General features: G+C 46.2%; 1 protein-coding gene and 1 pseudogene across 2 annotated transcripts in view, besides 7 other annotated features; one reads left to right on the forward strand and one right to left on the reverse strand.

The window, feature by feature from the left end:
- Positions 2,341-3,702: an enhancer, noted in NCBI's record as "VISTA enhancer hs1025". NCBI's record gives its function as "enhancer in: forebrain[7/8]" and the evidence as "EXISTENCE:transgenic organism evidence [ECO:0001131][PMID:17130149]".
- Positions 6,025-6,806: a transcriptional cis regulatory region, noted in NCBI's record as "candidate enhancer chr2.2721 targeted for multiplex CRISPR interference". NCBI's record gives its function as "positively regulates EMX1 gene expression with high confidence in K562 cells {active_cell/tissue: K562}" and the evidence as "EXISTENCE:mutant phenotype evidence [ECO:0000015][PMID:30612741]".
- LOC100419678 (zinc finger MYM-type containing 1 pseudogene) lies at positions 6,717-7,671 on the reverse strand (annotated as a pseudogene).
- Positions 20,745-20,914: a silencer, noted in NCBI's record as "silent region_11627". NCBI's record gives its function as "represses an Ori minimal core promoter by ATAC-STARR-seq in GM12878 lymphoblastoid cells {active_cell/tissue: GM12878}" and the evidence as "EXISTENCE:reporter gene assay evidence [ECO:0000049][PMID:35858748]".
- The window catches only part of EMX1 (empty spiracles homeobox 1), an 18,703-nt gene continuing 17,266 nt past the window's right edge, over positions 20,929-22,365 (forward strand). The window contains exon 1 of one of the 2 annotated variants that reach the window (XM_011532697.4): positions 20,929-21,804. In XM_011532697.4, coding sequence (XP_011530999.1) covers positions 21,798-21,804 — 7 coding nt within the window. In that variant the 5' untranslated portion in view covers positions 20,929-21,797. Of the gene's footprint in view, positions 21,805-22,258 lie in introns of those variants that run through there. The other variant, NM_004097.3, reaches the window with a different exon arrangement.
- Positions 21,006-21,623: an enhancer, noted in NCBI's record as "H3K4me1 hESC enhancer chr2:73143395-73144012 (GRCh37/hg19 assembly coordinates)". NCBI's record gives its function as "activates a minimal SCP1, AML or CMV promoter by ChIP-STARR-seq in primed H9 embryonic stem cells {active_cell/tissue: H9 hESC(primed)}" and the evidence as "EXISTENCE:reporter gene assay evidence [ECO:0000049][PMID:30033119]".
- Positions 21,624-22,240: an enhancer, noted in NCBI's record as "H3K4me1 hESC enhancer chr2:73144013-73144629 (GRCh37/hg19 assembly coordinates)". NCBI's record gives its function as "activates a minimal SCP1, AML or CMV promoter by ChIP-STARR-seq in primed H9 embryonic stem cells {active_cell/tissue: H9 hESC(primed)}" and the evidence as "EXISTENCE:reporter gene assay evidence [ECO:0000049][PMID:30033119]".
- Positions 21,624-22,365: part of a biological region, named in NCBI's record as "H3K4me1 hESC enhancer GRCh37_chr2:73144013-73144629", that runs on past the window's edge.
- Positions 22,055-22,365: part of a silencer, noted in NCBI's record as "silent region_11628", that runs on past the window's edge. NCBI's record gives its function as "represses an Ori minimal core promoter by ATAC-STARR-seq in GM12878 lymphoblastoid cells {active_cell/tissue: GM12878}" and the evidence as "EXISTENCE:reporter gene assay evidence [ECO:0000049][PMID:35858748]".

The raw sequence follows: 22,365 nt of genomic DNA on the forward strand, positions 1-22,365 counted from the left end.
GGAGAGAGAAGGAAATGCCTATCCCTTGGGGGCTCCTCCCCCAGATGACCTTAGTGCTCAGCGTGGTTCCTCAGCTAACTAACCTGAAAGCTGTCTAGCAGCCTCTTAGTCCACAGGACTGCCAAAGGACAACCCCAGATCCCCCTATCTGACCCCCAGGGCAGGAGCCCTATGCAAAGGACAGGGACAGCTGCATCATTTTGTGGAACAAAATGAGCTTTTTCTAAGAGTCCCTCCTTGAGGCTTGCCCAGGTGACACACGAAAGGGACCAAGGGCAAAGTGAGGAGTTGAGAGGAGGTAAGTCCCCTCTCTGCTCTGGAGCATCCAGGCAGAAAAACAAAAGCAGACACCTTGAGAGTCAAAGACGGAGACAGGGCGAGCTGGACAGTGAGAGAGGAAGATAGAGAGAGGGACAGAAACACAGGGAGGAAACAGGCAGAAAGATTCGAAAATGTAGTAAGACAGATTTAGACGAAGGGAGAGAGATGGCGGGAGAAGCCACACACCCTCACACACTCACACACGCTCATACTCCCTCTCTCTCTCCCCCCTCCCTCTCTCTCTCACATACACACACTCACACACACACACACCCCGGGCATGCACTCACGCAGCCGCCCTGAGCCTTGCTGGAAATAATCCCGTTCGCGACGCCAGGGCCTCAGCTGCACAGGCGTTGCCGAGCTGTTACCTTGCACATCTGTCAGCTCCAAATGTAGAAGCTGTCATAGGACAGTGTGTGTGTGAGTGTGAGAGTGTGTGCATGCCTGTTCCTCCCAGAGAATTCTGAGGACTTGGTCGGCAGAGGGAGATTCCCAAGGGCCCGGAGGCTCTCCAGGAAGTCCAAGCCCTGGAAAGCAGGTCTGCTCCTTCCCTTCCTGCACAGGGAGTGGCCACGGGGCCGCCCAGCTTTATGAGATAGCCCGCTGGACTTGGCTTCTGTGGCCTGGCTCGGCCACTTACAGCCATGGGGCTCTGGGCAGTCACTTCTCAGAGCAGCTGGGTCTCCTGCTTGTCAGGTCGAGATGTTGGGTAGCTATGCCACCTGGAAGGAACCCAGAGAGGGGGTGATGAGCACCTGGTCTGGTGTGTGTCAGTCACTTCTGGTAGTCAGGGATTTTTCTCTGAGAGCTGGGAAGTCCTTCTTATGTCTGACTCCCACTTCTGGGAATGTATCCCGCACCCAGGTCCCTCTGGGGCACCGAGAACATTGCCCTCCTCTGACCCACTCTTCTCCACACCACTCTCCTTGCTGGACCTGAGGATGGGCCTTGGGCACCGACTCCGGGCACAAAAGGTCCAAGAACCTCAAACACCAAGTCTCCAGGAGCATAGGGTGTTGGCACAAAGCCTGGAGGATTTGAGAATGTTGAGCCTTTTCCTGTAAGGATCCTTGGGTAGAAATTTTTCTCTGGTGACTCTTTCCAGGTTTTCAACCCCCCTCCCTGGCCCCAAATGTCAGGACGCTCTTTTTTTGTGTTTGCACTTCCTCCTGCTTTAATCTAAGCTTATCACAGAGAAATTGTATAGCAATGAGAAAGAGGCCCCAGAAACTATCTAGTAAGGAGGGCAGCTTTTTCACCCCAAGTAAGAGGAAAGAGGGACCCTGGCCAAAGGGACCCCACCCTGTATTGGTGCTCTTCCCACAATGCCATGCCCACCCCATTTAATCCTCCCGTGATCCACGGAACTGACCCCTTGAAGACTTGAATACAAAGGCCCTGCCACCCATCCCACAGGCTGGCACCCTCACGCCTGTCCTGGCCTCATCAGAGACCATCTTAACTCCAGGCCATCTCTCATGCTGTCCTCAGATCCATGGTTCTTTCTGCCCAAAGGCTGGATGGAACAATCTAACAGGCGTTGTATGCTCATGGTGCTCACAGCAGGGTGTTCTGAGAGAGGAGATGAAGCCAAAGACTTGTATCAGTGGTTCGAGCCCAGAAGCCATCACCCGGAATATGTTCTCACCAGGGACCTGGGTCTCTGTGTATGCACATCACGGATACATATGAATCAGACATGGGCCTGCCCTGGGCCCAAGCCGTGTGTGTGTGTGTCTGTGTGTGTGTGTGTGTGTGTGTGTGTGTGTATATATATATATATATATATATAAAACTGTTTGCCACCCTAGAATTAGTCTTATGCGGGTTTGAACATTCAGCTTTTCTTATGCATGGAGGGGTGTAATTGTGTGTGTACCTGTGTATAAGTGTTCTGATGTAAAACTTACCAGATAATGGTGTGGTGTGCAAATGTGGGTTTGGGTGTATAGCTGTACATGCACACCTATAAGCCTATTGTGTGAATGTAAGCATAACTTTGAAAACTACTGTGAGCGCACATGAGCATTTGTATTTGAATAACAGTGGGTCTGTGGGTTTAAATCATGTATGCATCAACAATGTACATATATGTGATTATGAGTGCTGGTATATAACCACATGTTGTATTTCTGGGTTGCTCTCCATTCATAATTGGGTGTGCATGTGTGCGCACGTGACAGGTTGTTACCTTGCAAGCAGGAACTCATGCAAAGCTGTGCATGAGATTTATGTGTGTGTGATTTTGACACGGGGCTGGTGTCCCTGGATAAATGAGTGTGTTCAGGCCTGTGACTGGGGTACAACAATTGTGTGTTGAGAAACTGCAGACAGCCCTTAGGCCATGTCCAGCGAGAAGGAAATGTGTAAATGTTTGTTGAACACAAAACAGAACAGCCACAAAATGCCAGGCCCTGTAGTGGCGCGGCAAATCGTGGAAGTTTTTTCCTCCCTCTTCATCTCTCCCTCTCCCCAGCATCTCGGCCCCTCTCTGGCGTGGTTCCCTCACACCTAAGCCCAATGGTGTTTTGCAGGCTTTCAGCTGTTACCTCAGTCCCTCCTCGCCTCATTCCCGATTCACTCCGTTGCTATAGGTATGTTTGAAACCCCAGCGTGGTAGATTTTAATTAGTCTTCCTACAGATGGCCAATTAACATTCATTACTTTTGCCTTGAGCGATTAATTATGAGTTTGGATAGAAAAGGAGAGAAGAGGAGAGGAAGATGGGCAGGTGAATGAAAGGAGAAAAGAGAAGGGGGTTTGATTGGGAGTTTGGAATTTTTACACAGAGCAGGCTGGTGGGGGAGAGGGTGGGAAAGAGCCGTTTCAATCCCCTCACTCCCAGCGGCCTCCCTCAGCCCACAGCTGCTCCGGGCCCCTAATCGGCTTGGCTGGCCCAGCCCTCCAGGAAAATAGAGCTCACACCCTCGTTTGGGAGGCCTTAAGCCTTTGGTGTTCCCTGACCCCAACCCTTTCATAATACCGGCCCTCTTGTTTCTTGTGCCAGAGCTGGGTGGGAACTGTGTCAGGAATCGCCCAAAATATTGCAGATAACCCAGAAAGGAAGCTCTGCTGCCAGTCACTCCTTGCTAGAATTGCAGTGGTTCACTATACAGATGAGAAAACTGAGGCCCGCATAGGAAATGACTTCCCCCACCTCAGGCCCCTTGGAAGGTTGGGGAGAGTCCAGCTTTGTTGACTCCCCAGCTCAGTTCTCTTTCTGCTGCAACCAGGGTGGTTTATAAAGATTTTGTGCAACATTCCATGAACAGGCTGATTTCAAACACAGTTCACATTCTTCTCTGTGCACCTAACTGCCAAAAGCTCCTGTGATTCCCCAGCCCATTGAAAGACTCCTTGAGTGTTGTTGCTGGGTTCAGGAGCCGCACCTATGTTCCTAATCCTAAATTCATTCCAGGAGTGGGGGATAGATGCCTAAATGTAAACAACGGTCTTTTGGGTGGTAGGATTCCAAGTGATTTTCGTCTTCCTCTCTCAAATCATCTGTATTTTTAACTCTCTGTAGCACAGATGCATTATTTGAACAAAATAAAGTATATAAGCTATGCCTTCATTTACTTGAATTTTTTTCAAAATCTATATTGTAAAAAGAAACAAAGAAATCCATGTTAGTTTATGATCTTTTTTAAAAGACCACAAATATGTACATCAAAATTTTGAACACTGATTACCGCTTAAATCAGCCTGCTTGAATTCAAGTCACAGTTCTGCCACCCACTTCAACAGTGTCCTCATCTGTTAAGTCGAGTTAAAAAGAATATCCATCTCATAGGGTCGTGAGAATTAAAATAATACATGAAAAGTCTTAGAACGGTGTCTTGTATCTAGAAAGAGCCCAACAAATGTTATCTATTATGAATATTAATAACAGTAAGATTTTTAAATAGTGGTTATCTGAGTGGTGGGATTTTATCGAGGTCTTTTTGTTTTTCTGTATCTTGAAAAGTTTTCCACAGAGAACATGCAATACCTCGATAATAATAAGATAGTGTAATTTGGAAGAGAGAGAGGAAGGAGAGAAGGAAGGAGGGAGGGAGGAAAGGAAGGAAGCAGGAAAGGAAGGAAGGAGGGAGAGAGAGAAGGAAGGAGGGAGGGAAGGAGGGAGGAAAGGAAGGAAGGAGAGAAGGAAGGAAGGAAAGAAGGAGGGAAGGAGGGAGGGAGGGAAGGAAAGAAGGAAGAAAGGCAGCAAAGCAAATGTAGTTCTGCTGTTTTAGACCTCTATTAAATTTCCATCATTTTGGCTGAGCAAGGTGGCTTACGCCTATGATCCCATCACTTCGGGAGGCCGAGGTGGGCGGATCACCTGAGGTCAGGAGTTTGAGACCAGCCTGGCTAACATGACGAAACCCCGTCTCTACTAAAAATACACAAAAAATAAAAAAGTTAGCCAGGCGTGGTGGCGCACGCCTGTAGTCCAAGCTACTGAGGAGGCTGATGCAGAATTGCTTGAACCAAGGAAGGGGAGGTTGCAGTGAGCCGAGATCACCCACTGCACTCCAGCAGTGTGGGCAACAGAGCGAGACTCTGTCACAAAAAAAAAAAAAAAATTCCACTATTTTACCCATAGTTGTAATAGTTGTGGCTGTGGCAGTTATAGCCTATGTCCCCTGGAGGTCTTACTGATAGCATGGCAAACATTCTCACCTCCAGGAAACCCCCTCCATCTCCTCTCCTGCTTGGCTAACTCTTCCTCATCCTTCACATCCTCAGCACCTTCCTTGGCCTATCCCACTCCCTGCACACGCCTGGCCTATGCCGTTCCTGTGGGGCCTCTTTCCTTCTGGGGTTGTGTGGTTTACTGTCCAGATGTCTGGTAAGTGGGAACTGGAGCCCAAGCCTTGTCTCTCAGGGGCCCATTGTGGTGTCTGCCAGTCAGCGAGCATCCCCTCCCTCTCTCCCAGCACGCTGCCTCTGCTCACACTTCATCTTTGTTCCCTTTGACTTCAGCATGCATGCAGTCCCGTTCTCAAGGCCTAGGCTCACACTGAACTGCAGCTTCCTTCCATGTCTTTCAGTTCACATTTCTAAAAGGGAGCATCTGGTTGGCCTAGGGCCTCTTTTTGAGCCTCTTCACTGGTCAAGGGAGGGTTGGCTGCAAAGGGCTGTGTCTGGGGGCCTGGACTGATGTTGCAGGATGGGGCAGAGACAGACAGGGCTGTCCCCAGGACTGGGTAGGGGTGATGGGTGGGCTGCAGCCTGGGAGAAGCATCCATGTGCCTTTGTGGAGGCAGAAGGAGAAAGAAGAGCTAAAACCAAAGGCTCCCTGGACACACTGGAAACCCAGACATGGATGTGGGAGAAAGGAACCTCTCTGACTCTCCTTTCCTTTGGTGGGGACGGGCCATAGATTGAGTCAAAAAGTGGGTGAGGAAGGCCTGAATTTCTGTGTGAGAACCAAGGGTAGTGGCCACCTTGTTCTTTTCATGTCATGGCCGCAGAGTCCGTGGTCCCTTCCCAATGGCTTTCCTGAGTTGTAAAAATGCAAGTGTAAGTGGCAATCTGACAATTCCAAAGGGCACTGCTTAGGGGAGGTGGGTAGAGAGGGCTTCTTGGAAGACATGAGACTAAAACACGCCTTGAAGGTTGAGCAGGGTTGGCATTGGTGGGGAGAAAGAAGGCACGCTAGCTGGCCAAAACCTTGTGAGCAAAAGCACTGAGCGGGGAATGGGCATGGGGTGGGAATGCGGATTCCAGCTAGCTTGGTAGTTTGTGGTCTGTTAGAGAGAGGTGGGTGAGACCAGATAACAGATGCCTTTGAAGCAGAGGGGCTTACATGGAGCCACTCTCCTGGGGGCAAGTGTCTACATTATCAGGCCCCTGTTCTCAATAGTAGGCATCTGAGACTTCTCCAGGCTTCTCCCTGCCACTGACGGCCACCATCCAGGGGATCCAGTTGAGAGGCCCCTCCTGCAGTGCTTTCCACACTCATCACATCCTTCAGCTGGCCGGATTTCCTGACTGTCCTCTTAACCTAATCAATCCATTTCCTAGTGTGCCTGGAGACCATCTGCTGTAGAGGGGAGTGAGATAACAGACATAAGCACTACTCTCAACGTCTTAAGAGCTGCTCAGGGGAGATAGACATGGGTAGAGAAGTTTCATGTTAAAGGAGGTGCTCCTGACCTGGAATACAACAGGGCTTTGGGGTGGGGGGATGAGGATTGAAGCCAGGAGGGCCTCTCTACAGGGACAGCTCTCCTGGGCTGACACTGAGGTGCAGCCCTCACAGGCTCCAGGCATGGTCCCACCTCCCTGCTTTGCCACACTCACTCTGCCCCCTGCCCATTACCAAATATCCCTCCCTTTTGGGGCCCTTAGTTCAAATGCCTGAGAGAGCCTCATTGAGCCTGAGCCTGGCCCCAAATCAAGTTCAGTAATAAGCCCAAGGGGACCACCCTGATGCAATCGGCTGTGACCAGAAGGAAGGCCACGGGGTTCACCTAGGACCAGTAGGGGGTGGGTGGAGGTGTGGGCACAGCAGGCAGGGACACAGAAAATTTTTGCATGTATCTAATTATTTCTTCATTTAATATACTGTCCCATGAGAAAGTGTTGCTGAAATTTCTTTCATTTTGCCATTTATGGTTTTTGAAAAACATAAGTTTAGTAATATGGCCACTATTTATTGGAAATAAACATTTATACTAAATTGTTTTTCTGAAGTAGTAGGGGAAAATGTATTACCTTAGTTACCATGAACTTTTTTTTTTCTTAAAAGAATTTTTTTCCACTTTGAAACCTTTGGGGGTTACTTATTGGCATAATTTCTCCATTCTCTCTCGAATGGTTTAAAAATATTTATCACTTCTTTCAGATGACAAAGCATGAAATGCTTATTTAACCTTTGATGGGAAAGAGAAGAATGTCTATAGTTTCAATTAGAAGCTCCTTAGAAAACCAGTGCCTGTAATACTTAGCCCATTGTTTACATTTTGTTAAAATTTATAAACAAAAGGTGAATTCAAATTTGGAAACCAAAATCAGCCAAGACCTCACTGCACCAGCCACCTGTATATTTCAAAAAATAGCTTGACACATCTTTCCATGTTTGAATAACCTGCAGAAGCCCCTCAATCATGACCAATAATCCAACACATTTTCAACAATTCTGGAGTTTCCAGTATCCCTTCACTCCACTTACAAATGTTTTGAAAATTTGCCAGCTTTTCAGAGATGCATCAATAGTGTCATACAAATAATTGACAGTACTGAGATCACTTCAGAGTTCTTTCATATCCCGACACATCTCAACACCAATAAATCCCCAAGATGTACATGACAATGTGTGTATAAAGCTCTTGGCTCATCTTCCATAAACGTTGTGGCAACACATTAAATCTTCCACTTGTGTCAGCAGCTCCAGTGTAGACACAGCCATACACTTTATTAAAATCAGCTTCCAAAATAATTGGGTGTGAGAGCCTCCCAGTGATACTATCTATACCCATGTGATATGGTTTGAATGTGTGTGCCTTCCAAATCTCTGTTGAAATGTGATCCCCAATGTTGGACGTGGGGCTTCATGGAGGTATTGAATCATAGGGGTGGATCCCTCATGAATGGCTATGTTCCCCCCTCTTGGTAATGGGTGAGTTCTTACTCTGAGTTCTAGTTGTTTAAAAGACTCTAGGACCTCCCCTCACCCCTTACTCCCCCTCTCACCATGTGACACGCCTGCTCCCACTTTGACATCCACCATTAGTGAAAGCTCCCTGAAGCCTCACCAGAAGCTGAGCAGATGCTGGAGCCAGGCTCGCACAGCCTGCAGAACTATGAGCCAAATAAACCTCTTTTCTTTATAAATTACGCAGTCTCAGGTATTTCTTTATAGCAACACAAAAACAGACTAACACATCATAGCACCTGTGAAGGGCTGTTTAATTAAGATGGCCTTGGACATTTTCTGCAGGGAGCTTGCACAGGTTGAGAGCTGGGCACCATTATACCCTCAGCTGTCTCATTGTATCTTATGAGTGGTTTATGGAAACAATGCCCATGTATATTATTTCATTAAGGTACATGGTATGTACCATGTATATGCACATGCTATGTGCCAGACACTATTACTATTCTAAGTGCTTTACCTATATACACTCATTGGATCCTTCCAAAAAACTCTAAGGTAGGTTTTATGACTTATTCTCATTTTTCAGATAAAGAAAGTAGCACTGAAAGGTTAAGTAACTTTCCTAACTTTCACAAGTTTGCACAATTTGTAGAAACCAACTTAAATTAGTTATAAAGTTCTCTTTTTTATTTCAAACTCAAAACACTTGCCTTCATTTGCAAATTAGATCCCCTATGCCCATGGCAGACACAATTTTCCCAGAAATAAAATATCTTCAACTTCAAATACATCCTACTTTCCTCATTAGGTTTTAGTTAGCCAGGTAATACTTTACAAAAGACAGTGTATGTCACCAAAAAGTATACGTTTACTATAAAACTACATCAAATATAAATGCATTTTATATTTTTTCTCGTGTTCTGAAAACTTCCAGCAATTTTTTCAAGTTATGATTGTTCTTTCATTCCTGAGCTGTGTTAGCGAACAACTAGAATGGGAACAGAATTGCATGTCTTTTATAATGCTCTGTTCCACCCATGAAAAATCCAATTACTCAGATATTTCAAAAAATGTTTTCATTTGCCTTGAACTTTTTATACTTTAAAGGTAGTCTGGGGGTGAGAAGGCCCATTCCTTCCTTTCCAATTTCAAACCATGTGCAGAATCTTGGCTTAAAATGTGTTACTCCCTCTACCCACCCTTATGTCAACTCTGATTTCCTCTTGATGATGAAATATTTGACTACTCCTCACTATTACTATTGGCATCATAACTTGATGATAAACTCTTGGAAATTTTTGTGAAAAATAGAAACTCAAACCTTTGTTTTGACATCACTTTTTAGATTCCTGTGATTTAAGTATTTATTTAGAATTGCTCAGTGATTGTGTTCCATCTACAAGAAGAGAATGCCAATGACAGATTCTCTAACACTTCTTGTTAAGACACTTTCCATGTTTTCTCAGTTATTTTCTAACAAGATTAATGTCCCAAAGCAAGGCTCTTTCAGCCTAGTGGCATACTCCTGCTATAGCCTAGAAACCATGGATTTAAGGTTTTTCTACAGACTGTTTTTATTAAGAAACTGTTTTATTGCTATTTAATGATCTTTTGTCCTAGTTTTTTAAATTCTATTTTTTTCTCTTTTACTAATTTGGAAGTAGTAGCCCATTTCTATTCCTTGGATGGCATATTTCATTTCTCTAAATCTAAAGTTAATCATAATCTTTACTCTCCTTTAGAAAAATGTACGATCCAAATGTACTTTAACTTTGATCAACACACTACCCCAACTTAGATGCTGTTGTTGTTCAATACTTATTTCTATTTTTTTAGTCCCACAAATTATGCAATGACATTACTGTTTTATATAGTCAATATTTATTTATATTGTATTAACTTTACTCACTATTCATCCTTTCACCTCAAACTTTTCTTCTACAATAATTTTCTTTCTGCCTAAAATTCCTTTAATGAGGGTCAGTTGGTAGAAATTTTCATTTCTGATTTGTTTGAAAATGTCTTTATTTCACCCTTATTTTGAAAGACAATTTTTGCCAGAAATACAATTCTAAGTTGTAAGTTATTTTCTCTCAGTGCTTTGAAGATATATCCCACTCTCTCCTGGCATCCACTGTTGAGAGTTGGTTGTCAGTCCAATTGTCACTTTCTAGTAATCTATATTTTCTCTCTGGCTACACTTTCCTTCCTTCCTTCCTTTTTTCTTTCTTTCCTTCCTTCCTTTCTTTTCTTTTCTTTTTTTAAGACAGGTTCTCTCTCTGTCACCCAGGCTGGAGTGCAGTGGCATGATCTCGGCTCACTGCAACCTCTGGCTCCCAGGTTCAAATGATTCTTCTGCCTCAGCCTCCCGAGTAGCTGGGACTACAGGCACACGCCATCATCCCTGGCTAATTTTTGTATTTTTAGTAGAGACAGGGTTTCACCATACTGCCCAGGCTGGTCTCAGACTCCTGGCCTCAAGTGATCTGCCTGCCTCGGCCTCACAAAGTGCTAAGATTACAGGTGTGAGTCACCACGCCTGGCCTCTCTCTGGCTACTTTTAAGATCCTTTTTCCTTACGCATTCTACAGTTACATTGCCTATATGTAGATTTGTCTATCTTGTTGAATTTCAATGGGCTTTCTTATTTCAAGGATTGGTGTCTTAGTTAATTTTTTGTGGTTTATAATGGAATACCTGAAACTAGGTAATTTATAAAGAAAATAAATTTATTTCTTACAGTTATGGAGGCTAAGTGCAAGGTTGAAGATACCACATTTGGTGAGAGTCTTTTTAGTGGTGGAGACTCTCCGCCGAGTCCCAAGGCAGCAAAGGGCATCACATGGAGAGGAAGCTGAGATGCTAGTTCAGGTCTCTCTTTCTCTTCTTATAAAGCTACCAGTCTCACTCCCATGATAACTCATTAACCCATTACTCCATTAATGGATTAGTCTACTCATGAGGACAGAGCCGTTATCCCTTATGACCTATCACATCTTAAAGGCTCTACGCTTTCATACTGCCACTTTGGAGATTAAATTTCAACCTGAGTTTTGAAGGGGACAAACATTCATACCATAGCAACTGGCTTATCAATTTTTAAAAAATTCTTAGCCATTAGCTCTTCAAAGGAAGCCTCTCCCTGAGTCCCTCTGTTTTCTACTTCTAGAACCCTGGTTAGATACACGATAATCCTTTGGACACAACACTCCATCTCTCGTAACCTCTTGATGTACCCTGCAGCTTTGCCTCTCTATGTGCTGCATTTCCTCAGCTCTTCTGATTTCTAGTTCATGAATTCTCTCTTCTGCTACATCTAATCTGCTAACTTCTTATTGAGTTGCTAATTTCAGTTATTATAATTTTTATTTCTCTTTGGTCCTTTTCCAAATCAGCTGGGTCCTCTGTTTACACTGAGTTGTAATTTATATTCTGTAAGATGCACAAATCTGAAGTGTATATCTTGATGAATTTTCCCCTACGTGTACATCCATGTAAGCACCAGGTTAAAATATAAACATTTCCAGGACCTCAGAACATTCGACTGTGCCACTTTCCAGTCAATAATTCATCAGAGATAACTGCTTTTTTTTTTTTTTTTTTTTTAGACAGGGTCTCACTCTGTCGCCCAGGATGGAGTGCAGTGGCACAATCATGGCTTCCTACAGCAGCGACCTCCTGGGCTCAGGCAATCCTGCCTCAGCCTTCCAAGTAGCTGGGACCACAGGCGTGTGCCACCACACTTGACTTTTTTTTTTGGCGGGGGTGGGGGGCGGGGGGCAGGGTAGAGACAGAGTCTCCTTATGTTGGCCAGGCTGGCCTCAAACTCCTAGGCTCAAGGATCCTTCTGCCTCGGCTTCCCAAAGTGCTGAGATAACAGGCGTGAGCACCTGACCTGCTATTCTGACTTTTATCAATGTAGATTAATTTTGCCTGTTCTAAGGTACCATATAAATGGAATCTTACAGCATATATATTTTTCTGTCTAGCTTCTTTTACCCAATAATGTATTTAAGATTTATCCATGTTGTTGCATGAATCAATAGTTGGTTTTTGTTTTTGTTTTTGCTGCATTTCATTGTATGAATCTAGCAATTTATTCATCCTGCTGTTTATGGGAACATGGATTGTTGCAAGTTTTTGGTGACTGGGAACAATCACTTGTAGACATTTGCTTTTTTTTTTTTTTTCTTGCTCTTGTCCTCCAGGCTGGAGTGCGATGGCGCAATCTCGGCTCACTGCAACCTCCGCCTCTCGGGTTCAAGTGATTCTCCTGCCTCAGCCCCCCGAGTAGCTGGGATTACAGGTGCCTGCCACCACGCCCAGCTAATTTTTGTATTTTCAGTTGAGATGGCGTTTCACCATGTTGGCCAGGCTGGTGTAGAACTCCTGACCTCAGGTGGTCCACACGCCTCAGACTCCCAAAGCCACCGCGCCCGGCCGACATATGCATTCTTTTCTCTTGCACATATATCTAGGAGTAGAATGGCTGAGTGTTTATATGTTTAACTTTATTTCAAACTGTCAAATAACTTTCCAGAGTTGTACCATTTTGCACTCTTATGCAAGGTATTAGTTTCTTTTTAATAACCTCTTTTGTGACATATTAAACCTAATTATTTTATAGTCTATATTTGATAATTCTAACATAGGTGGTCTTTTTGCAGGTCTCATTCTGCAGTTTGTGATAGTTTATTTTCCTGCATATTTGATGACTTTTGATTATGAGTTTATCTTTCTCGGAACTTTATCTGGGGGAATCGTTTGGCTATCAAATGTATTCCTCTAGAAGAGGAATAAATACACTTGTTTTCTTCTTCCAAGACATACTAAATTTTCAGCCTGGGGTCTTTTAGGGGCTCCTAAAATGTTTGGTCCCACATCCAAGTGAGAATGGGGCTGTGGTTAGAAACTCTGAGGAAAACATGTTTTCTTTTTTTCCCCTCTACACAGAGCCAAAGCTGAGCCAGGCACATATGCCCACCACCTCCCTTTGTTGGGGTGAAATTTTTTCTCATTCACTCAGTAAGGATGTCACCTTTCGGGAATCTTTGATCTGATTTCCTGCCTTGGATGAATCCCAAGTGTTATTCCTCCCACTTGGAGCCCTTTACAACCCAAGCTCCGGGCCACCAGAGAATTGAAGTTTGTTCCAACACACACTGCAGCTTCAGAACTCATTTCCTTGTCTCAATTCAAGCTTTCTACAATCTCTGGGAAACTGGGGATTTTTCTTTATTTTTGTGACAGTTCAACCATCATTCTAAAAGATATTTTTAAGACTAGCAAAAGATTATTAACTAATGTTGAATGGTAAATATATGGAAGTTTGTTATACTGTTCTCTCTACAAAATATGTTTAAAATTTCATGTAATAAAAGTTTCCTTTTAAAAAAAATTCCCGATAGAGATTCACAGTGAGATATTTAGGACTGAAATATCATGATGGCTGTAATTTACTTGAAAATACTTCAAGGCAGGCACAGTGGCTCATGCCTGTAATCCCAGCACTTTGGGAGGCAAAGATGGGAGGATTGCTTGAGGCAAGAAGTTCAAGACTAGCCTGCACAACATGGTGAGAACCCCATCTCTCCAAATAATAATAATAACAAAATTAGCCCAATGCAGTGGTGTACCAGCAGTCCCAGCTACTTGGGAGGCTGAGCCCAGGAGTTTGAGGAGGCAGTGAAGTATGATTGTGCCACAGCACTCCAGCCCAGGTGACAGAGTGAGACCCTATTTCTGTTAAATAAATAAATAAATAAATAAATAAATAAAATACTCCAGAGAAAAAAGGATGAGGCAAAATGGAAAAACGTTAATAATTGTAAAATCTAGGTTACACGGTATGTGGGTGCTCGTTATACTATTTTGTCTACCTTTATGTAAGTTTGGAAATTTTTATAATAAAAAGTCAAAATAAAACAAGTTCTTAGATGTTCTGTACTGGGAAGGCTCTCTGGACCTCTAGTGTACTGTATTATTAGAAACAAATTTGACATCATGTTCAGATAATTACACTCACAAAGAAAGAATCTACAAATGACTCTGGCCAAATTATTCAACAACTCAGAAAAGATACGAAATGCCTGTGCTGTGTAATACAAAGTTGTTCAGATCCAGATATGAACAAATAAATTTGTGTAAGTGGGCAGTTGGGGAGGTAGGCAGGTCAGCAGGCCAGCAGAACAACAAAATAGGTAGGGATGGGCCTACTGAAGTGTCTTGACATTGAGCTATACCAAATGGCCCCATTTTTTCATTGCATTTCATGGCCCAGATGTCTGCTGGTTGATAGTCCCATCCATGTAATAGTAAAATCACACTTCCTCCCTCCCATAGGTCCAGCCCCTCTAGTTTTAGGAAGGGGAAGCCATCTCCCAGCTCCAGCCCAAATCTCACCTGCTCTCATTCACCTCCTATTTATGCCCAAGATTCAGTGTGCCCATTCCAGAACTCCTAGGGGCTGAGCTTGCCTGGAGCCCCATTGAGCCAATCTCTCACTACATAATCATCTGATGCAAGTACATTTCCCAAAGTCCAAAAATTCCTTCTAAACTGAAATTCTGAGTGAGCATTCAGCAGAATAGCTCAGGGTGGGCTTTGGCAATTCAGGTCAAAACACTCTCTACCAGATTAGCTGGGTGTGGTGGCTAATCCCTGTAGTCCCAGCTACTTGGGAGGCTGAGCCAGGAGGATTGCTTGAGCCCAGGAGTTCGAGGCTGCAGTGAGCTATGATTGCAACACTGCACTCTAGCCTAGGTGACGGAGTAAGACCCTGTCTCAAAAAAAAAAAAAAAAGAAAGAAAAGAAAAGAAAAAAAGAAAAAAAAAGTCCTCTCCCAGTGGGAGATGAAAATATGGACCTTCTCACTCTTCATTTTCCAGTTCTATGGAGAACAATTTGAATCAGAATGCATACACACTCCCAAGAAGGAACCCTAATTTTCAGAGACAGAGCTGACTAGACCCAAATGTTGAAAAGAAACATTTCCCTAAGTTAAATTAACCTGCAAAAATGACATCCTGTTATAGAGAAGACATTTATACATTATGCAGAACACTTGAGCTTGTGGTCTCTAATAGATTCCATTAAAGAATTAAGTCTTTGGTTTATCTTTGCAAAAATGAGGCATCCGTTGAAGTGGTTTATCTTTGCGTTTACAAGGCATCCATTGAAGTGTTTTTTTTTTTTCAGAAGAAAGGGATATTTGCTCCAAGTTCACACATTTTATGTAATAGAGTCACACTAGAAACTCTGAATTTATAGTCCTTCCCACTCAAGAGTTTAGCCAATTATTGGGCAGGCTCCCAGTTCAAAGTGTCTGGGTTTCCGTTCCCAGCAGTCAGAGGCTCTGCAAGAAGCATCTTCTTCCAACATGGGGCCTAGGATGGGAAGCCCACCCTGAGGGTCAGGCAAGAATTCCACCTATCTTGGGAGGTACGGCAAACCCTACAGGGCAAGGACTGTATATTCTTTACGTTCTATTATGATGAAAACTTGCATTTTTACACACCTCAGAACAAATGGAACCTTGAGTCATGTTTCTCACATTTTTATATTCAGTCAACAAATCTTTAATGAACATTTATTATATGCCAGACAACCGTGTTGTGTTGGAAACACAGCAGTGAACAAAATAGACGTTCTCATGAAGTTGGCATTCTAAATAGTTGACTATGTGCACTACTGAAAATTTTCCTCCTCTCAGAAGTTGGACTGATACATGCTCTGGAGTAATTTTTTTTTTTTTTGAGACAGGGTCTCACTCTGTTAACCTAGGCTGGAGTATAGTGATTTGATCATGGCTGACTGCAGGCTTGAACTTTTAGGCTCAAGTGATTCTCCCACCTCAGCTTCCAGAGTAGCTGGGACTACAGGCATGCACCACCACACCTGGCTAATATTTTTAATTTTTTGTAGAGACAGGGTCTCGCTATGTTGCCCAGGCTGGTCTCGAACTCCTGGCCTCAAGCAGTCTTTCTGCCACAGCCTCCCAAAGTGCTGAGATTATAGGTGTGAGCCATTGTACCTGGCTTGGAGTAATGTTTTTGAGCAAAGCAAATGTACAGGACATGCACAGAGAGGCACAGGGAGCACAGAGTCCCTGGATGAATGCTCTGGCTGGTGGCAGTATTGTCACAGGGCAGGCTACCCAAAGGTGAGCAGAACACATGAGGCTAGACAGGTACAACTTGCTCATGAAGAGCCTCGAATGCCAAGCTTAGGAGTTTGAACTTTATTGGAACACTGACACTAATAGTTAATGTTTACTGAGTGCTTACTATGTGCTAAGAGCTATGCATGAATCACCTCATTCTAATTCTCTTAACTCTCCACAGCAGGTCTTATTATTTCCAGATTGCTGATGAAAAACTGAGTCACAGAGAGGTAAAAAAAAAAAAACAAAAACACCCTGGGTCCAGAGTTGTGTGAAAAAATTTTAACAGGTTAGAGTTGTGTTGTAGAAATCTGGTAGCCAGCCACGTGTAAGACGAATTGTAGAAAGGAGAGATCACAAATGGCTATCATAAGAGAATCACTGGGAAAAGGTAATAAGAACCCAAATTAGAGGCAAGGAGAACAGAAAGAAATGAAAGAATGCAAAGACTGACTGGATGTGCACAGCAGTGACCGAGAGAAAGGAGGTATCACAGGTGCCTCTTAGCTGCTAAGCCTGGGTGTCCTGCAGAAAGGGGCAGCTATTATCAGAAGAGAGAAGCCAGAGAGAGGCACAGATTTGGTGGGGATGATGTTGAGCTCCGTTTGGGGGTATGGTGAGTGTCTAGGGGGCCTGTAGGAACCCCTCCAGAAAAATTCTCACAAGCATTTGAAAATCAGTGACTTGATCTGGAGAAAAATATAGGGCTGGCATTACAAACCTGCCGGGGTCTGCATTACAGTATTGGTTGAAAGTGTGGAAATTGATAATGATAGATGGTTGGTAGATACATAGATAGATAGATAGATAGATAGATAGATAGATAGATAGATAGATAGATAGATAGAATAAATAGCATGATACATGGAATGAGGGAAGGGCTAAGGATAAAGATGCCTTCATGGATGCCCACAGTTAGGAGAAGAAAGTAGAGCCCATGAAGGAACAACTCCCAGAGTTTGCAGATCCAGGCAAGTATCTTGTTCAGAAAATAAAGGGAAGGGAGTTTCCAAAAGAAAAGGGGGTTGAAGGTACTCAGATGCTGAGGAGCCTATAAACAATTGTGACTAAAAAAGACTCAAATTTGGAAATAAGGTGTCCTAATGAACATTTCAGAGGATGGAGAGAGATTCTTAAAGTCAGCCTTTGGAAGAATAACTATATAGAACACTTCCAGAGGCCAAACTAGTGACAATGGATCAAAAGAATTAAAATATTGCATATCTGGAAATTACACAGCTAGAAATATGTAGAAAAGAAACACAAACATGCGGTAAGATACAGCTATGGAGCTGTTTGTCGAAATTTTGTTAAAACAGTGAAAATCTGTAAACTGTATTAATGTCCAACAATAAAAAATATTTAATGAGAGGCAAAGATGCTTTGATTGGTTATAAAGATAAAGAAGTTACAATACTATGTACAGTATGATCCTTTTTTTAAAGGGAGGCACATATAGAAAGAACTGGAAGGATATACTGTAAGAATTTCACGATGTTTGTTTCTGGGTAGTAGGATTTGACAATTATAAGATCTCTGTTTTCCCTTCACTCCCCCCTTTTGGATTATCTGTATTTTTTATAACTCTGTCCAATAGACATATAATGTGAGACACATAATTTTAAATGTTCTAGTGGCCACATTTAAAAAGTAGAAAGAAATAGATAAAATAATCTTCTTAAGATATTTCATTTTACTCAATATATCCATTACTATGTGTAATCGATATAAAAATATTAATATTTTAAATGTTTTAGCACTAAGCCTGTTTAACACTAAATGCAGTGGATATTCACATTTACAGAACATCTCTGTTTGGGCCATCCACTTCTCAAGCACCACATTACCGCATTTGGCTCCTAGCACGGCTCTATGAAATAATAGCAGTTAATATTTATCAAAAGCCTACTATGTTCCAGGCACTGCTCCAAGTTCATCAGGTGGAGATTATAACTCATTAGGTCTCAATAACTCCATGAGGTTGAACTTATTGTGCTCTCCACAAGCACGTGTTGCTTGCCCTTGTCCTCATACCATAATGAAATGTTTGGAGCTTTTGCAAAAGCCATTTTCCTAATATGATGGGCATCCAAGTCTGGTTGCAAAGGCTTGGATAGAGGGCAAGTGAGAGAATTGGAGAGAGACTAAAAATCATTCAAGAAATTTTGTGGTGAAAAAGACAAGTCAAAAGACTGAGAGAAACATGAGGACAGAAAACTCTTTGTAAGGCAAGGAGACATAAAGATGAAGTCAGGCTGAATAGGAAAGAAGGAGGTGAAAGGTGAAAGAGAGATGGCTGGGGGTGTGGCTGGTCCAAATTCTCACAAGATCTCTGTTGGAGAAACATTGCCTGGCTTGTGCTGGTGGCGAGATGTACATAGCAGCTTCCCAGCTAGAGGGAGCAGGGAGTCATGGCCTTGTGAGGGAGACAGATGGAGACACACACAACCCCCATCGCAGGTGAATGCTATGAAAGAATGGGGTGGAGGGCTTCCCAGGGAGATGAACTGAGTTTTAAGAACGAAGTTAGCCAGCAAAGAAGCAAAAGGAAGAGGATATAGACTTGAGGATTACATCACTGGATGACTGAGCCACTGATTGGATGTGGAGGATGAGAGAGTGATGCTTTGAGGTGATTCCCAAGTTCTCCGCATGGACAAAGGCAGAGACAATAACTTGTACTGAGTGCTCTTTGGAGTCTGACATTGATCCAGTGCACCACATATGTTATCTCATTTACTCCTCACAGAGGTCCCGTATAACGCTTGCAATTTCACAGATACGCAAGCTGAGGCAAAATAATTGGCCCAGGGCTCACCACTAATAAATAGGAGAGTCTGGATTTGGGGCCAGGTTATTCCAGAAATAGAGAGAGGGAGGGAAAACGTTAATGTGGGGCCAGAGCCAGAACAGGTAGGCTAGGCTGTATCAGCCTGGGAGGCATCGGGCTATTCTCCAAAAAGTGAGGCTCCGGGTTGCAGGAGATGGGACCTCCAGGAAACTGGTGGGAGGCTGGACAGGGGCAAAGTGAAAGGTAAGCAGCCTGAAGATGGGTGGGATGTAGTGGACTCCAGCGTGAAGAGCCTCCAGTCTCTGGCAGAGCTCAGCAGCTTGGGTGGGAGGAAACGAAGGGCAGGGAGCAGAAGGTGGTGGGGGGAACGGGTTTTGGTTAAGATGGGCAGCTGTCCAGTGGTGAAGAGGGGAAGTATTTGTGTATACGATCAGTTGTGGGGGATGGTGGTAGAGGGAGCAGTATGAGAGTCTGGGAGGAACAGGGCAGGGGAGATGGCACAGGAGAAGATTGGGGTGGGGGTGGGGGCACTGATACTGAATCCAGTACACAGAGGCAGGCTTAGAGACCCCCTGAGGGTGACAAATTCTTCTCTTAACTTGCTGCAGAGGAAACGACAAGAGAATAGGTCCTAAGAGGAGTGAAAATAGAGGAAACTGGCCAAGGGATAAAGATAAGCAGAGCTATGGAAGAAAAGGAAGAAAATTAGGGAATTACTGGAGAGGAAGCTGACAGAAAGGGGCGCTGGGAGAGGAAAAGGTGAGGGAGGACGAAAACGGAACTCCTATCACCCAGCGCATTCCAGCACCCCCTCCCCCTCCCCCGGGAAGTCTGCGACTGCATCCTCACAGGGATGGAATGGGAGTGGAAGCTAGGCCAGGCTGGGACCCCGGGGCTGTCCCAGCCCAACCAAGACGGTGACCAGACTCAAGTTACTGATCCTCCGCTGTTTCTTCATCTGTAAAGTGGAGTTAATGACAGACAGCTGGATGTCAACGTTTTTTGTTGTTTGTTTTAGAGATGGGATCTCCCTGTATCGCCCAGGCTGGAGTGCAGCGGTATGATCACGGCTCACTGCAGCCTCGACCTCCTGGGCTCGAGAGATCTTCCTGTCTCAGCCTCCCGAGTAGAAATGTCAGCATTTGAATGCCTCACAAGGGAAGGTGGTGTAATAAAAGGTCTATTGATTTAGATATGAACAAGTATACCCAGAGCCACACGAATGAAAGGAGGTGGCCAGTGTAGATGCAAGTCTAGGACGGTCGGTAGATTCCAAGCTTCTCTACCTGCCCAGTTAAACAAGTTCGTGGCCCCTGGCCAGCCTCTCGGTGGGGGTCTGCGACAGAACGGGTGGGATTCATTACCAGGCTAGGAGCGCAAGGCCCTCGGGCCGGGTTCAGCTTGCTGGGCTCCTGTCTTGTCTCAGCCCCCAGCACTTGCTCTGTCACCGCAGAGCACAGGCCCAGGCAACGTTTACCCAACTGAACCCGCATCCCTGTGGGAACCTTGTTCCAACAAAATCCCGTCGTTGTCTCCTTCCATATGGAACGAAAATCTCCTTCTGTACCTCTGCCCAGCTCCGCACCCCCGCCCCCTTAGAGATACGGCCTGGTCGGGTCCTGGTCCCCCCCTCGGCGGCGCTTCCACTTTTCCCAGACTGAGGGTGGGGAAAAGGAGGAGGGGGAAGAAATCAGAGGAGGAAAAGTCGGGAGGTAGGGGAGCCGGGAGACAGGAGAGGGGGAAAATAAAGAGCCTGAGACACAAACGAGAGGAAAAGACCATCACAGAAAGCTGGAAATCTCCGGAGAGGCCAGCGAGAACCCGCGCTCCCCACGGATTCCATCATTCCTTCCGAAGGCGCCTCTGCGGTGTCTCAGCCGTGCCAGGCCCCGGGGTTCCCAGGACGCGGAGGAGTGCTGGGTGCGGCCGCCTCGCCTCCCCACCCCTGGCCGCCCCTCCCCACCTCGCCCAAGGGGGCCGGAACGGCGTCGGCGCGCGGGGGCTTTTCGGAGCAGTCGAGTGGAAAATAGACTTTAACCCGCTTTGTGGCGGCCGGGGCGCCCTGAGCGCTCTCCAAACCACGGCTCCCGGCGCTCAGGCGGGCCGCTGCCAAGACCCGGCCTGGAGTCCCCGCAGAGTTGCGCGGCGCACGGACCCCGTGGCCTTGGGGCGTCAGGAGGCCCAACCCAGATCTGCGCGCCCAGGCAGCGCTCAGGCCGCTAGAATGGACCCCGGCAGCGGCGAGGAAGCGGAACTCTCTGCGGCTCCCTCTCCGCAGTGCGCCGGCAAGGTCCAGGTCCCAGCCTCCCCACCGCCGCCCGCGCCCTCCTAGGCCTCGGAGCGGCGCCTTTCTGCGGCCTCGAAGGTGGGGTGGGAAAGTTTGGGGAGTCCCGGCTCTCACAGCCTGTCGTGAGAACTGCCCCCGGGGAATTCGTCCGCCGTACGGAAAAACTGGCCGGAGCAGAGTCGTCCGCGGTTCCGCGGTCGCGGGTGGAAGGTGAAGGTCGAGGGAGGTCAGGCTGCTTCTGCGTGTCCTGACGGCTGGCGTGTTCTCTTGAGATGGGCTCGGGCTACTTGGCCAGCTTCAATTTAAGCCACAGTGTCTCCGAGGCCCTGACCTGGTCCGGCCCGCCGACACTTGAGCCCCCAGAGCCTCAGAGAAGGCGAGGGGGTGGATCTCCCAGTGCCGAGGCCCGCCGTCCTGGTCCAAGCCGGTCGCGGCACCGTGTCTGGGCACTGGAGCTGCTTCCAGCCCCGCGAACAGCTGGAGGGTGGCAGTGGGACCGCTCCGGCGGCTTCTCCCGCGCAGTGCCCCGCCTGGCCCCTTGTGAAGGGAGTGAGCGTCCCCTTTCCAGAGCTGTCCCCCGTGACATCCAGAAAACGCGAAACCTCAGGAACAAGGTCGCAGCTTCAGACCGCGGCCCAGGAGGCCGATGGTGGGTGAGTGGGAGAGTCCCGGAGAGCAGGGGGGCAGAGAGCTGGTTTTCGGGAAAACCAATGTGTTGGACCCCAAACATCCACCCTCCGCTCGGATCCAAGTTCTCTGAGAACTGAAACGACATCCCGGGACGAATGGGAGAGTTAGGCTGAGCTACACACCGGGGAGGGGAGGGTTGGAGTTTAGCCCCAAGCCCTTCGGACGCCTTCTTCGGCTCCCGCGTGGGTTGAGACGGCGGCACGGCCACCAGACTCAGCTAAAGGGCGGAGTCGCGAGGAGAAGCCAGTGGCGAGGGGAGGAGGAGGCCTGGATCTCCCCGCGAAGGCTCCAGTCCGGCTTTTGCCTCCGACTGCGGGCTCCCTCCCCACCCGCCGTCCCTCGCCCCGCCCCGCCCCGCCCCCCACCTTGGGGCAGGTGAGCGGCGGCCAATGGGCGAGCGCGGGGCAGGTGCCCGCTAACTCGCGCCTCGCAGCGCTGGGCGGCCGGGGCTGGGCAGGGCAGTGCGGGGACACCGGGGGCTGGGGTCGGTCCCAGCGGGACTCCGAAAGGAGGGAGACGAGCTC

The sequence above is a fragment of the Homo sapiens genome, chromosome 2 (assembly GCF_000001405.40).
Source record: "Homo sapiens chromosome 2, GRCh38.p14 Primary Assembly".
Classification (NCBI taxonomy): domain Eukaryota; kingdom Metazoa; phylum Chordata; class Mammalia; order Primates; family Hominidae; genus Homo; species Homo sapiens.